Here is a 15,760-nt window from a genome sequence, read left to right on the forward strand (position 1 = left end):
AAAACCTCAAAGTTGGAAGGTGTTTTAAAAAACAAAGAATGTTCCTGATTCACATTAAAAGCATACCAGTACCTGAAGACTATCATAAAACTGGGAGTGACTGGAAAGCAGAAGCATTTATTGTGTTTTCCTTTTTTAAAACCTACTCATGTACCTTGGACCTGCCTTAAGGTCCTTACCAATTTGGCTTTTAGGAACATGAAACAGAAGGTTCACACCTAATAAGATCCACTGTTCTCTGAAGCCATGAAGCTGTTCATAACCCCATAAAGGTAGAAAAGCTTTCCGCTCATTCCTGTTGAGCGGCAGAGGTTGGCAAACTGGATGGATGTGAATGATCATCATGAGTAACTTGCTCAGTAAGGAGATGAACTGTGTAGGACCCATCCCATGACCAGTCTGGATGGAGTGACAGTGTCTACCTCACCTATTTAAGCTCCTTCCCCCAGGGATTCCACAGCACAACACCAGAGCCCTCTCCTTCCACAGAAGACTTACAGGAGCAAGGATCTGGGGATTTAGAGAAGGAAAAGTATAGAGATTCATAGAACTAGGAAGGTCATCCACTCATGTAAGCCCCCACCTCTGCACTGCAACTTACTATTAACTGCAGTATTTATAGTAAACAGTATTACTTTGATAAGTAATCAAAAACCTCCAGAACATATTCTGCCCATTGATAGTCTAATAAATAGGTCCAGTCTTAAACCCCCCAAATGTCATGCAGCCTTTTGGCTTGGCAGAGCTCTGGAGACCTAATTGTTTTTACACAATCAATTTGATGGTGTCTTTAAAAGTGGAGAATAACAATCTTTCAGGTTCTATGTAAATGGCCTGTGATGTGTGTACCAACTCGTGTCCTGGCCACATGGCTCAGGACACTGACATCACCACTAGGTGTGGACCAGTCTTTCTAAACATGGCTGAACACACCTGCTCCTGACTACTTCCTACTCCAAGGACCCCACGCCTACCTGGCTCACTTACCAGCCAGTCAGAAGAACAGCCAAGAAAACATGAGTGGACACATGCCTTAGGAGAACCAAAGTGCGAGAGAGTTGGGTGAGTTGGGGGTGGGACAGGTCATAGGAGGGAGGGAGATGGTAGGCATAAGTAGTAGAAATCAAGAAATAATTGAAGGGTTACATGTATGTGCCACTGCCCTACCTGAAATGCATTAAAGTAGCTAAAAGCTCTGCTTTTACACATTTTTTTAAAAAAACTGGGAGAAATTTCCTCTAAGATTACATATCAAATTGCTCAAAATAAAAACAAAACTGCTGTAGCAGTTACCTCTAGGGAAGAAAATGGATGTGAGGGGTAGACAGGTGGTGACAGGGACTTTCAACTTTCAAACTCTGTGTGTGTGTGTATTGCTGAGTGTCTTTTAAGACTGTATCAGTATATTCTTTTTTTAAAGAATGTGTCAGTATATTATATATGGAATTTAAAAAAGGAAAAGCTGCCTTCGCCGAGTCCCAGTCCTACCTGTGTGCTCGGTGATCACCATCGAATGCCTGGCGAATTAACCCTTGTGGGCTTCACCGTCATCTTGAACCAAGCCTGATCTGACCATCTGTTTTCCAGATTGAAGGCAGCGACTGTGAATGCAACCCTGCTGGGAAGAACTTCCCTGAAAACCAAATCCTGATCAAACGCATGATGATTAAGTGTGCTGACGTGGCCAACCCATGCCGCCCCTTGGACCTGTGCATTGAATGGGCTGGGAGGATCTCTGAGGAGTATTTTGCACAGGTGCGCCATCTTTCCAGGGAAGCTCCACTTCCCCTCTGGGAATGGGAACTAGGTCATGGAACTCCTGGGGGATTCTCCAGCTGAGTAACTTTTTACCAATTAGTTAACCACTCCTCCCTGGAAGAAAGCAGCTTACCCCCACCTGGGGTAGGCTTCTGGTTCCTTCAGGAGCTGACTGATGGGGCTGATCACTAACCAGAGTCTCTTGAGAAGGGGGATAAACTGAGCCTTTGGAAGTAACTTTTCATCTTCAGTTTGCTGGATCCAGAACTTGCACAAAAACCGAGAAATCTTCCATTCATTCACTAGGTTATTCCTGGGTGTCTACATGGCGCGTTATGGGAACACAGGCATTAGTGAAGACATCGCGGCCACGGGGAGTTCCAGTCCAATAGGGGAGAGATGTAGATAGGTCCACATGTTAGTAAAAAATGAAGTGTATCTCAAGGAAGTTTATGTTAAGTGCTACAGACGTTCAGAGAGACTTTTTTCTAGATAAAAGGGGGGCTACAGAAATGGAATAGGAAAAGACTTTCTGGAAGAACAAAGCATTCTGAGCAAAATTAACAAAGGGAGGGGAAATAGAATTTTTATAAAAAGGGAAGAGCAATATGTAGTTCACTTTAATTGTAGCAGTGTAGAGAGTTAAAGGAGAGAAATCTAGAAAGCAGTAGACTGTAAATGGACATGTGAAAACAGCCCTACTTCCAGAGAAGAGACTCTAAGCACTGATGGGTGTGTGGGTGACAAACAAGCAGCCACAAGTAGTGAATTTTGTGGGGTCTGCATGGCTGAAATGTACTGTGGAGGCAGGATAAATAAGGGCAGGATAAAGAATAGATGATGCCTAGGAAGACTGGGAAGGGGAGTGACCAGCAGAGGAGCCCAGTATGTTTAAGATTTGGGGGTACATGTGCAGGTTTGTTAAAAGGGTATATTGCTGATGCTGAGGTTTGAGCTTCTAATGATCCATGGCTCAAGTAGTAAACATAGTACCCAATAAGTAGTTTTTCAACCCTTGCCCCCTTCCCTCCTTTTGAAGTCTCCAGTGTCTACTGTTCCAGTTTCTGCCACTGTGTGTACCCAATGTTTAGCTACCACTTCTAAGAAAGAACATGTAGTATCTGGTTTTGTTTCTATTATTACTTCACTTTAGGATAATGGCCTCCAGCTCTAGCCATGTTGCTGCAAATGACATGATTTCATTCTTTTTTATGGCTGCATAGTATTCCATGGTGTATATGCACCACATTTTCTTCATCCAGTCCACCAATGATGGGCACCTGGGTTGATTCCATGTCTTTGCTACCATGAATTGTGCTGTCATAAACATGCAAGTACAGGTGTCTCTTCAGTAGAATGATTTATTTTCCTTTGGGTATATACCCAGTAATGGGACGGCTGGGTTGAATAGCAATTTCTATTTTTAGTTCTTTGAGAAATCTCCGAACTGCTTTCCACAGGGGCTAGCTGATCTAATTTATTTCTCACCAACAGTGTATAAGCATTCTTTTCTCCACAACCTTGCCAACATCTGTTATTTTCTGACTTTTTAATAGCCATTCTGACTAGTTTGAGATGGTATCTCATTGTGGTTTTGATTTGCATGTCTGATTAGTGATGCTGGACTTTTGTTTTGTTTAGTTTTTTTTTTTTTTTTTTTTTTTTTTTGAGACAGTCTTGCTCTGTTGCCCAGGCTGGAGTGCAGTGGCATGACCTCAGCTCACTGCAACCCTCACCTCCCAGGCTTGAGCAATTCTGCCTCAGCCTCCCAAGTAGCTGGGACTACAGGTGCACACTGCCATGCCCGGCTAATTTTTTGTATTTTAGTAGAGATGGGGTTTCCCTGTGTTGCCCAGGCTGGTCTCGAATTCCTGAGCTCAGGCAATCCGCCTGCCTTGGCCTCCCAAAGTGCTAGGATTACAGGCGTGAGCCACCGCACCCAGCCTGGACATTTTTTTTTTTATGTTTATTGGCTGCTTGTGTGTCGTCTTTTGAGAAGTGTCTGTTCATGAAATCCAGTAAGTAGACTGCAGCTTTCTGGGAAGAGAGCCTCTGAATTGAAGAAAAGTAGGACAGGTAGTTCTGAGCTTTCCAGAGAGAAGAACAGGAAGGGAGTGAGGATCAAATGACTCCTTGAACACCAGTGGATATTTTAAGGCTGCTTGATCGACTGACCTGAAATGAGCAAGCCAAGCCAAAAGCTGCTCATCAATGGGCTTCCCCGGACCCACAGAGAGAGGACCTGACGTACTACTCCTAGTTGTTCTCAGTGTGAATGGAGGATGAGAAAAATGTGCTTTTAAGTTTTTTGATAAAAGCTTCCTATTTAGGTGTCCTTTTCCCAAAAAGCAATGTACTAATGTTCATAAGCCAGGGTGACCTAAAAATGAAAGTTACAAATGAAGCCTTTGAGCTGGCCTTCTGGCTTAATACACCACCAGGAAATGCGGATCCTAATACTCAGCTCAATGAATGATGATGGCCTTAGTTTAATGTGCAGAATACTCAGATTTCCACACACCTCAAAAGCTGCAAGGCTAATACCCAAGTTTGAACAATCATAGTTTGACAGTCATTCTTTCCAGTGAAAATAATGGTCCATGGATAAAAACAGCTGGTTCAGCTCAATTCAAGTGCATAAGTGCTTTCCACAAGACAACCAGCAGATTTTGGTATGCAGTTCAAGTGTACGTGTACTCCCATTTCATCACATTCATCATCCAGAATATTACAGAGACATGTACTTCGAAGGTCAAGATTTAATACAATTAATAACTCTTACTGCTTCAAAGAGGTAATTCTCAAGTGAAACTGGTTCTGTTTTTTTGTTTTTTGTTTTTTGTTTTTAATGTGAGACAAGATCTCACTCTGTAACCCAAACTGGAGTGCAGTGGCAGTCCTGGCTCAATGCAGACTCAAAACTCCAGGCCCCAAGCGAACCTCCTGCCTTGACCTCCCATATCACTGGGATTACAGGCATGAGCCATTGGGCTTGGCCTGAAACTTTTTTTAAGTGCAAACATGTGGCAGCAAATAATATAATGACTATGGCTATTAATACAGTTTGGTGCTAGTTCATTGAGTCATGCTAAGGTGTTAGCAGTTTTACCCACTATTGCTTCTTCTCAGTGTAAATGTCAGTAGTTTTGGTATGAGAATTTGTGTTTGTATGACATTGAACAGAGCTTTGACTTTGCAATGATAAAAGCAGATCCCAGAAAAGGGGCTAAGTACCCTGAGATCAATGTGTCAGGAGATGCTATGGTATCACATAGAAAGAGGCTTGGGGCCAGGCACAGTGGCTCGTGCCTATAATCCCAGCACTTTGGGAGGCCAAGGGAGGCAGATCATCTGAGGTCAGGAGTTCAAGACTGGCTTGGCCAATATGGTGAAACCCCTTCTCTACTAAAAATTAGCTGGACGTGGTGACAGGTGCCTGTATTCCCAGCTACTCAGGAGGCTGAGGCAGAAGAATTGCTTGAACCTGGGAGGCGGAGGTTGCAGTGAACCGAGACTGCACCACTGTACTACAGCTTGGGCAACAGAGTGAGACACTGTCTCAAAAACAAAAAAAGAGGCTTGAGAGTGGGAAGGTCTGAGTGTAGTCAGTGTAGCTCAGCTGACTTACGTAAGTCTGAGGACCTTGCTGAGCCTATTTCTTCATTGAGAAAACTGGATAATGACCCATTTTCACAGGGTTGTTCTGAGAAACAGGATATTACTGTGAAAGTGTCTCGCATGTCCTCCAGCCCTATGTGGTGGTTTTTTCTTACAGACTGATGAAGAGAAGAGACAGGGACTACCTGTGGTGATGCCAGTGTTTGACCGGAATACCTGTAGCATCCCCAAGTCTCAGATCTCTTTCATTGACTACTTCATAACAGACATGTTTGATGCTTGGGATGGTAAGACAGTTACTGTTTTGTCACCCAAAGAAAATTGTTATACTTTACGAATATTATCTTTAGTGACACAGGGTGAGCCTAAAGGTAAACAAAATATATTTTTAAAAATGTGGCTGTCAGCTTTTTGTGGCCAAGTGGGGTGGGGTGCATTCTTTGCATCCCCAGCAGCTGGCACAGAAGCTTGTGTGCAGAAGACTTGATGGATTTTTGATAGCTGGATAAACGAGTCTCTGCCTCTTCAAAGGACACGCTGCCAAAGCTTACTGCAGTGTTTTTCTGTCGTTGGAGGAAAACTCTAGAAAGAATGCAAAATGTATTTAGTTTACTCTGAATCACAGGTTCTTCTGATAATGTCACTGATAAGCAGCTTTTCAAAAAGGACCTGTTTGCATTTCAGAAACTAGTGTTTAATGACTTGTCCTCATGCTTCGCCCAGGGTGTGCCTCCTCTAATTCTGATCCCAAACTTGTCCCAGACACCCCCAGGCTTATAAATGCTCCTGGGGTCTAAGTTCACCGGTTTCTTTTGATTCTTTTCTGTCTTTGCAGCCTTTGCACATCTGCCAGCCCTGATGCAACATTTGGCTGACAACTACAAACACTGGAAGACACTAGATGACCTAAAGTGCAAAAGTTTGAGGCTTCCATCTGACAGCTAAAGCCAAGCCACAGAGGGGGCCTCTTGACCGACAAAGGACACTGTGAATCACAGTAGCGTAAACGAGAGGCCTTCCTTTCTAATGACAATGACAGGTATTGGTGAAGGAGCTAATGTTTAATATTTGACCTTGAATCATTCAAGTCCCCAAATTTCATTCTTAGAAAGTTATGTTCCATGAAGAAAAATATATGTTCTTTTGAATACTTAATGACAGAACAAATACTTGGCAAACTCCTTTGCTCTGCTGTCATCCTGTGTACCCTTGTCAATCCATGGAGCTGGTTCACTGTAACTAGCAGGCCACAGGAAGCAAAGCCTTGGTGCCTGTGAGCTCATCTCCCAGGATGGTGACTAAGTAGCTTAGCTAGTGATCAGCTCATCCTTTACCATAAAAGTCATCATTGCTGTTTAGCTTGACTGTTTTCCTCAAGAACATCGATCTGAAGGATTCATAAGGAGCTTATCTGAACAGATTTATCTAAGAAAAAAAAAAAACGACATAAAATAAGTGAAACAACTAGGACCAAATTACAGATAAACTAGTTAGCTTCACAGCCTCTATGGCTACATGGTTCTTCTGGCCGATGGTATGACACCTAAGTTAGAACACAGCCTTGGCTGGTGGGTGCCCTCTCTAGACTGGTATCAGCAGCCTGTGTAACCCCTTTCCTGTAAAAGGGGTTCATCTTAACAAAGTCATCCATGATGAGGGAAAAAGTGGCATTTCATTTTTGGGGAATCCATGAGCTTCCTTTATTTCTGGCTCACAGAGGCAGCCACGAGGCACTACACCAAGTATTATATAAAAGCCATTAAATTTGAATGCCCTTGGACAAGCTTTTCTTAAAAAAAAAAAAAAAAAGTTTATATACATGTTTAAAATTTTTATTAAAATCCAAATTTTCTGGGTGTAAGCCCATGCAGTATGTTGTGCCATGCACCATCTATACGTAATATTTTGGGAGGGGATAGGGGAAGTTTCAAGGTTCAGATATTTTTAACCAGTCTATATTTGAAATCATGCCATTAGCTTTAACAATGTTAAAATTGTGTGGTGTAAATATATCAGAAAATAGGCATATGGGGAGGCAGTAAATACTATTTTAAGCTATTAATTGTATGCTAAAAGCTTCTAAAGCACAAGTGCATATTTTTATACTGCTCTTTTCACAACTCCCTGTGATCTACATAAAGTCAGACTCGAGATTTTCCTTTCTCTTTTACCAGCTGATCCTTCCTATGTATTATAAATATTAGACTCCGTAAACAAACTTCATTTTTCTTTCTCTGTACTTCATGCTGCATTTTTAAAAGGTATAAACAAACAGAGACTGAATTAATTGAATCAGTAATTACTTTTTTCCAATACAAATTGGAATGCAGAATACTTGGAACTTGTACATGGGGAAAAAATGACTTATCACTACATAATGTGCCAATGTTTTTTTCTATGTTTTGTACCAAAAATGGAAAAATATGACAATTCCATGCAAAGAAATGTATCTAAATTATTTTTGTTAGATGATAAGAGAACTTGCTTGGTCAGGACAGCAGCCAGCTTTGTATTGTAATGCTATATTATGTAAATGTGATGAAAATGTTTTTGTGAAGTACTTGTAACTAAATTCCTACAGCCATTTTTCACTCCCAACAGCTGTTTTTATTTTACCTCTTTGGCCTAAAGTTTTCATAATTTCAAATTTGGGGTTTAGTGTCCTTTATTTCATGAGTCACACACTTTGTTTTCAGAGCACATTAAAATCAGGATGCCAGAATCCCATATTAAGGACCTAGCTAACTTGCCTAGGCTTCAGAAGCTTGCTTGAGGCAAGGACAATCTTTTTCTGATCATCTCACTTTCAGTTCTATTTGGTAAGTAACATTTATCAGGTGTCAGACATCTTCTATATGAAATATTTACAGCTTACTCAGTTTTATGTCAAATTTCTTGTTAACTTCAAACTTTTTATTAGTAATGTGCAAATGTTTAAAAATGCTTTAAGACAGCTAGGTACTAAAGCGTCAACAATTTCTGCTCTTTACCAGTGTAATCTACGGTATAATCTTCTGGCCTGCGAACTAGTCTATTCTTCCACATAGTCAACTTGTTAGAAATACAGGCTTTCAGATGATATGTGTATCAGATAGTTTATATTATATAAACTATTATAACTGCCTCTTACACAGAGTTGTTTACTTAAATGTCATGTGCTGAGGAGGGCCGTATTAGGAAAATGCAACACTCTCTAATAATTTCCGTGACTAGTAAGAGAAGGAAGCCAGTTATAAAACACTGCTGGACCAGAATGACCCTATAATTTCCTAAGATCATTCTTTATTTCTAATTTAAGATTTTTAAATTTACTTGCCCTCCATGTCAGGACTGGTTAGCATTCTGGGCAAAAAAAAAACAAGCCTGTCAGTTCACTCAGAACCTACTCAGCTTTAGAGAGAGAAACAGAAGGGATGATCTTGTGCCCTTGCGCTATGTGAATATAGCCAGAGACTGAGGTAATAAATATATTTTAAAATAAAAATGACAAGGGATTTGTACACTGTAACACTATGTAGTGTTACTTCTGCTGTTGCAAGTATCTTAACTGTTGAAAGCTAAACTCAGGAAATGGAGAAAATGTACATAATATACATTGACCCATTATTTTATTCTAAATTGAAAGTCCAACTTTTAGCAGCAGTCTACCTGCAACTACTGAACACCATCAGGTTTGAGTCCCTACCAGAATCTCCCATCATACTGTTATCCCCCATCTCTGTGACCTTAGGGCATGCATGAAAACAAAAGCAATCTAGTCCCTAGGGTTGGAGACTGCCCTCTAGACAGTTTTTCATGGCAGAAAATTAGAATACAAGTATACCTCATTTTATTGCATTCTGCTTCATTGTGCTTCAAAGATACTGCCTTTTCTACAAATTGAGGGCTTGTGGCCACCCTGCATAGAGCAAGTCTATCGGGGCATTTTCCCAGCATGGGCTCACTTTGTGTAAGTGTCACATTTTGGTAACTCTTAGAGTATTTCAAATGTTTTTATTCTTGTATCTGTCATGGTGGTCTGTGATCAGTGATCTTTGTTACTACTGTAATTGTTTTAGGGTACTGCAAACCATGCCCGTATAAGACAGTGAACTTAATTGATAAATCTTGTGTATATTCTAACTGTTCCACCAACTAGCGGTTTCCAGTCTCTCCCTCTTCTTAGACCTCCCTATTCCCTGAGACACAACAATATCGAAATTAAGCCAATTAATAACCTACAGTAGCCTGTAAATGTGCAAGTAAAAGAGTCACATGTCTCTCACTTTAAATCAAAAGCTACAGATAATAAAGCTTAGTGAAGAAGGCATGTTGAAAGCCCAGGCAGGTGAAAGCCATGCCTCTTACACCAGTTAGCCAAGTTATGCAAAGGAAGAGTTCTTGAAAGTGTTAACTCCAGTGAACATGCAAACAAGAAAGTGAAACAGCCTTACTGCTGAGATGGAGAAAGTCTGAGTGGTCTATATAGATTAAACAAGCCACAACATTCCCTTAAGCCAAAGCCTAATTAATTCTTCAATTCTTTCTTCGAAGACTGAGAGGTGAGGATGCTACAGAAGAAAAGCTGGAAGCAAGCAGAGGTTGGTTCATGAAACTATCCCCATTAACGTCAGAGTGCAAGGGACAACAACAGCAGGAAGTTGTCCAGATGATCTAGCTAAGATCACTGAAGGCGACTACACTAAACAACTGAGTTTGTGAAGATGAAATGGTCTTCTATTAGAAGAGATGTCATCTAGGACTTCATAGCTGGGGAGAAGAAGTTCAATGCCAGCGAGTGTAGTTGGTGCCTTTAAGTTGAAGTCAGAGTTTATTTACCAGTCCAAAAATCTTAAGGCCCTTAAGAATTATGTTAAATCTACTCTGCCTATGCTCTAGAAGTGGAATAACAAAGCCTAGATGACAGCATATCTGTTTATAGCATGGTTTATTGAATATTTAAGCCTATGGTTGAGACCTGCTCAAATTTCTTTCCAAATATTACTGCCCATTACAATGTTACCTGGTCACCTAAGAGTTCTGATGGAGATGTACAAGGAGGTTCATGTTGTCTTCGTGCCAGCTACCACAACATCTATGCTGCAGTCCATGGGTCAAGGAGTCACTTTGACTTTTAAGTCTTATTTATTTAAGAAATACATTTAATAAGGCTGTAGCTGCCCTAACTAGTGATTCCTCTGAAGAGTCTGGGCAAAGTCAATTGAAAACCTTCTGGGAAGCATTTAGCATTCTAGATGCCACTAAGAACATTCTGATTCATGGGAGGCGGTCAAAATTCCAGCATTAAAAGGAGTCTGGAAGAAGTGGAGCCTGAAGATGTGAATGAATTGCTGTAATCTCATGATCAAACTTTAATAGATGAGAAGTTGCTTAAGAATGTGTATAGAAAGTGGTTTCTGGAGACAGTCATTTCCACAGTGAAGATGCTGTAAACATAGTTGAAATGACAACAAAGGATTTAGAATATTCTATAAACTTAGTTCATAAAGGAGCATCAGGATTTGAGATGACAGACTCTAAATTTTGAAAGAAGTTCTACTGTGGGTAAAATGCTATTAAATAGTATTACATGTTACAGAGATCTCATTTGTGAAAGGAAGTCAATTGATTTGGAAAACTTCATCGCTATCTTATTTTAAGGAACTGCCACAGCCACCCCAACCTTCAGTAACCACCTTAGTCAACAGCCAGCAGTATCAAGACCCTCCACCAGCAAAAAGATTATGACTCGCTGAAGGCTCAGATGATTGTTAGCATTTTTTAGCAATAAAGTATTCTTAAGGTATGTACATTTTTTAGAAATTTAAGACTGTAGTATAAACACAAGTTTTATAGGCACTGGGAAACCAAAAACTAGATGTGACTCACTCTATTTGCAATAGTTGCTTTTTTGATGTGGTCTGAAACCTAACCTGTAGTATCTCTGAGGTACGCCTGTATAATGACCAGAAGGAATTTGCTGTGGTACTTACGGTACCATTTGCTTCCAAAATTCATGTGATTTCTACCACTCCATTTGAATAGATTACTATCACAAAATACTAGCCTAGAACAGGCTAGGAAGTAAAACAGTTAAGTCTATGGCTCCCTTGTGTCATACAACTTCAGAAAACAACTTTACAAATGTATGGGCCAATGCAGAATTTCTAAAGGAAAAAGCACGTGAATAATGGGAGAAAGTCTTCTGTAATTGAGGTAGCTTAAGTTTTAATATTTCTCCATAGAACTTTTCATGACTCAATGTTGTTTGGATTTAAAGTAGTCATATAAGCCTTTTCTCATTCAGTCTTCAGTTCCTGTTTTTAGAGCTGCTTGGTGATACTGGGCACTACAGATTTAATTGCAAGGCCTTACTGCACTGGGCCTCAGTTTCCTCATTTGTAACATTATGCCACTGGTCTACTCAGATGACCTTAACTCTTCCAGTCTTTGTAGGTAGTTGTGGAAGCAACTGTCAAAGCTAAAACTAGTAAAAGAACTTATGGAGATTCCCTTTAGGGTATATTTGTAGTATATTTGTATAATGAACAAATAAATCTGTAGGTTTTCTGTAAGAAGGGTCAGTCTGCTAACATCTGTCACGTTGCCCTTTCTTCATCAGTAGTTTAAGAATTTCAATCTTTAATGTGTAGACTACTTTCTAATATTTTCATTTTTTAGCACCAAAAGGAGAAAACATATTGTTACAAGGCTGGTTATAGTGTCTCAATGGACACTGCAAAGAACTACATAAAAGAAGTCTGTCTCAAGCAGTTCGTATTTGAGTCAGTGGTCAGATGGGGCAGTTGCGCTCAGCTGCAGTCCCTGACTCCGGAAACACTGTGCCTCTCAAATGATCTAGAGCTCATCCTTGGCGTACATGAGGGGCAGTTGTTGTTCTAGTACCCATTTAGCCCATGGCTCTTCAAGCCAATTCACACTGGGAAAAACACACCCTCACAAGATGCCTATCCATTTGAGTTCATACAGGTTTTAGTAGCTAGAACTAAAAAACATTTTTAAAATTATCTAAACAAATTGGTACCAAAGAAAACTTGCCATACTTAAACAGTATATATGTTCCCTTTTTTGGCTGAGAGATTCAAGTTTGTGCTATATAGAACACTAACAGTTACTAAAGACTAGGAAAATTTGCAGGAGAAAGGCTATTTTTAAACTTCACAATAATTCTAAAGGAAGCCAAATAATAAAACTTCTAATAAATGCCATAACTTAACTATTACCTCTATTTGTACCTTTCACAAGGATCTAGGTTCAAAATAAGCTCAAAACACAGCACTCACCACTTCAACAGCAGCTCAAAGTCAAATGGAAAAACTTGTGGTATATTCTTTGGAGGATATACTAGGACCTGAGAAGCAACATGTTCCTGGTTGGTAGGTCCACAAAAAATTTAAACATGTAGAATTTTATGGACTGACAAAAAAAATTACCAATTTAAGTGATCAATATATTAATGGTTTTCAGAGTAGTACCCGATATTTGATGTTCAAGGTTCATGCATGTGTATTTTTAATTCCTTAAACTAGACAGCAAGGTATAAGTCACCATTCTCCTCTAATTTTTGAAATAATCTTAAACTGCGCAATCCAGATTCTCGCTCTCCATTTTTCCACAAAATAATGAGATGATCAGCGGAGCACGTCACTAGTCCATGATCTTCAAAGTATAGAAACATCTGTAAAGAAAATTAAAACTGATTATAGGGACCCCGAAAAGCAGAGAAGTGTCTAATACCACATTAACACATGTGCGTGTGAGATATGTGCCTTAAAGACTCCTTTGGATCTGGGTGTAGAACTTCATTTCATTTTTCAGTATTGGTAAGTCACATACAAATAATATCTAATATTTTAATCAGAATTTTGTTAATATTGTTCAACTACAGAATAGCTATTTTTGTAAAGTACATGAATTCTCATAGTTCTTCCAGATTTTTTCATCATCTGATTTTTCAAGTATTGGTTTTACTTAACCATTACTTATACTGTATAATGGCTATGGAAAAAATGTCTGAATTCTAAATTTCCCAAGATAAACACTGGCTTCAGCTCTCTATAAAAGTAGATATACTCAATCCATAGGTGTTAAGTGTCAGCACTACGTTTATGGTCCCTACCCTCAAGAAGATTCTGAAAAGCAAATCATAATTGAAACAATAAAGGTACCAATGAGAGATTATGTAATCAGGTACTAAATAATGCAGTATAGACTATGACATGTCACAGAAATTCAGAAAAAGCTTCAAAGGGAGAAAATGCCCCAAGTAAGGGGAAGGGGCTTGCCCAGTGAAGGAATAGGCTGGAAGCTAAGAATAGGAAAACAGAGTGTTGACAAAAGGCAGCATGAATACTATGGGGTGAAGAGTTGTATCAGAAAAGTGAATCAATGAAAAGGATGAGGTCCTCGAAGGAAAGGGTGAAATAAAAGAGAAACAGGGCCGGGCGTGGTGGCTCACACCTGTAATCTCAGCACTTCGGGAGGCTGAGGTGGGTGGACTGCCTGAGGTCAGGAGTTTAAGGCCAGCCTGGCCAAACATGGTGAAACCCTGTCTATACTAAAAATTAGCTGGGTATCTGTAATCCCAGCTACTCGGGAGGCCGAGGAAAGAGAATCGCTTGAACCCAGGAGGTAGAGGTTGCAGTGAGTGGAGATTGCGCCATTGTACTCCAACCTGGGCAACAAGAGCAAAACTCCCTCTCGGGAAAAAAAACAAGAGTTTTCTCTGAAATGACATATACATTTCTGAAGACCACAGGATAAGACTCAGCTGAGGATGCAGGAGTGAAGGGAGGAAACATGGGAGCAGAATTCCTTCGGAAACTGGAAAACACAAAATTCAGTACACAGGTAGAGGGGTTGCGCCAGTAGAGCAAGGATGAAAATAGAAATGAGGACCAGCCTGGCCAACATGGTGACACCCCATCTCTACTAAAAGTACAAAAATTAGCTGGGCGTGGTGGCGGGCACCTGTAATCCCAGCTACTTGGGAGACTGAGGCAGGAGAATTGCTTAAACCTGGGAGGCGGAGAGTACAGTGACCCAAGACTGCACTCCAGCCTGGGCAACAGAGTGAGATGCTGTCTCAAAGAAAAAAAAAGAAATGAGGAAATTCAGGTGACACTGCAAAGATAGCCTAGATTTTATCAACGAAGCTGGAGATGCTTTTTAAAAGTGTTCAGGTCTCAACACTTTCACTCAGGAAAATTCCTAAGAAGCTGACACTGTTTTATAGAATGAGAAATGTGCCACATTCAAACACATTTTGAATGTCTTTTACATGGGGTTTTCCCTACCATCTAAAAACCTTTTTAATGAGTTCCTACTATTTAAAAAATAAAGTCCAAACTCCTCAGCCTTACATTCAAGGACATCCATAATCTGACCCCAAACCACGTTCCCAGGCTTTATCCCCTACTAGTGTCTGTTCACAGGAACCCAGCGCTCCGGCCTAGCCAAGGTGCTCCTTGCCACCACGTAAATGCTATCTTTGCCCTTCTGCCTACCACAGTCCATGCTCACCTCCCAACCATAAACACAAAGTTAAAAACTGAGCTACTTGTTAGAGGAAAGCAAAGATAACTATGACACTGTACCCCAACATCAAGGAGCTTATGATGACAAGGCTATATACTCATCCTACTAAACTTCAAGGTTCAGCTCAAGTGTCAAGTCCTATATCCTCTAACCATTTACAAGATTCAGCAAGAAATGTTTCTTCTGAGTCACTGCTGCTTACTTGGGTCCATCAAATGCAGCCTAGGGTAACAGCCTATTAGGTCTATACCCCTTCTCTCCACTCAAGGGTAAGATCCATGAGGGCAAGGACTGTTTTCATCTCTCTCTGTAAACTCCAGCAGCCAGTGTTTAGCACAGTGCCTGAAATACAGGAAATGCTCACTAACAAGGATGCTGCCGCTGCTCCTCCTAAGCATGAATGCCCTTTCAAATGAAAAGAAATTTTTTGTTCTTTGGCTATGAAACAGGGAAGAACAATTTAAGAAATTCCTTAGGGCCCTGATTACACTGTTATTAGTTCTCACAGCTAATCTGTTACCTCAACTGATCTTATTCCTTCACTACAGGCAATGATGCCTGCAGCAAATATTAATGTATCTGGATTTCTACATGTTAAAAGCTTACGCATTTCATAATTTTCAACTAAAACTTTCATATTTGCACAATGAAAATCAAGGCATAGGTTTCATTAAAGCTAACAAACTATTATCCTTCAAAGGCAGGAGAAACAGGACTCTGTTCATGAATTTGATAAAGGCCCCTGGAATTCGATTCTGTTAAGGCTTTAACTGTATACACATATAACCACAACCCTTCATGCATCCTCTGTTTACTGTTGTCATATAGTCAACATTATTCACACTGC

The 15,760-nt window shown here is 40.2% G+C and overlaps 2 protein-coding genes across 33 annotated transcripts in view; one reads left to right on the forward strand and one right to left on the reverse strand.

Annotated features, from left to right (window-relative positions):
* Window positions 1–8,023, forward strand: part of PDE8B (phosphodiesterase 8B) — a 341,542-nt gene extending 333,519 nt beyond the window's left edge. For 25 of the 27 annotated variants that reach the window (NM_001414622.1, NM_001414623.1, NM_001349750.3 and 22 more), the window contains 3 exons: window positions 1,588–1,755; window positions 5,534–5,663; window positions 6,212–8,023. In NM_001414622.1, coding sequence (NP_001401551.1) covers window positions 1,588–1,755; window positions 5,534–5,663; window positions 6,212–6,321 — 408 coding nt within the window. In that variant the 3' untranslated portion in view covers window positions 6,322–8,023. The remainder of the gene's footprint in view (window positions 1–1,587; window positions 1,756–5,533; window positions 5,664–6,211) is intronic. The other 2 variants (NM_001376072.1, NM_001349751.3) reach the window with 1 other exon arrangement.
* Window positions 10,700–15,760, reverse strand: part of WDR41 (WD repeat domain 41) — a 189,645-nt gene continuing 184,584 nt past the window's right edge. For all 6 annotated transcript variants that reach the window (XM_011543505.3, XM_047417350.1, XM_047417349.1 and 3 more), the window contains one exon: window positions 10,700–13,054. In XM_011543505.3, coding sequence (XP_011541807.1) covers window positions 12,902–13,054 — 153 coding nt within the window. In that variant the 3' untranslated portion in view covers window positions 10,700–12,901. The remainder of the gene's footprint in view (window positions 13,055–15,760) is intronic.

Source organism: Homo sapiens, chromosome 5 (genome assembly GCF_000001405.40).
Source record: "Homo sapiens chromosome 5, GRCh38.p14 Primary Assembly".
NCBI lineage: Eukaryota > Metazoa > Chordata > Mammalia > Primates > Hominidae > Homo > Homo sapiens.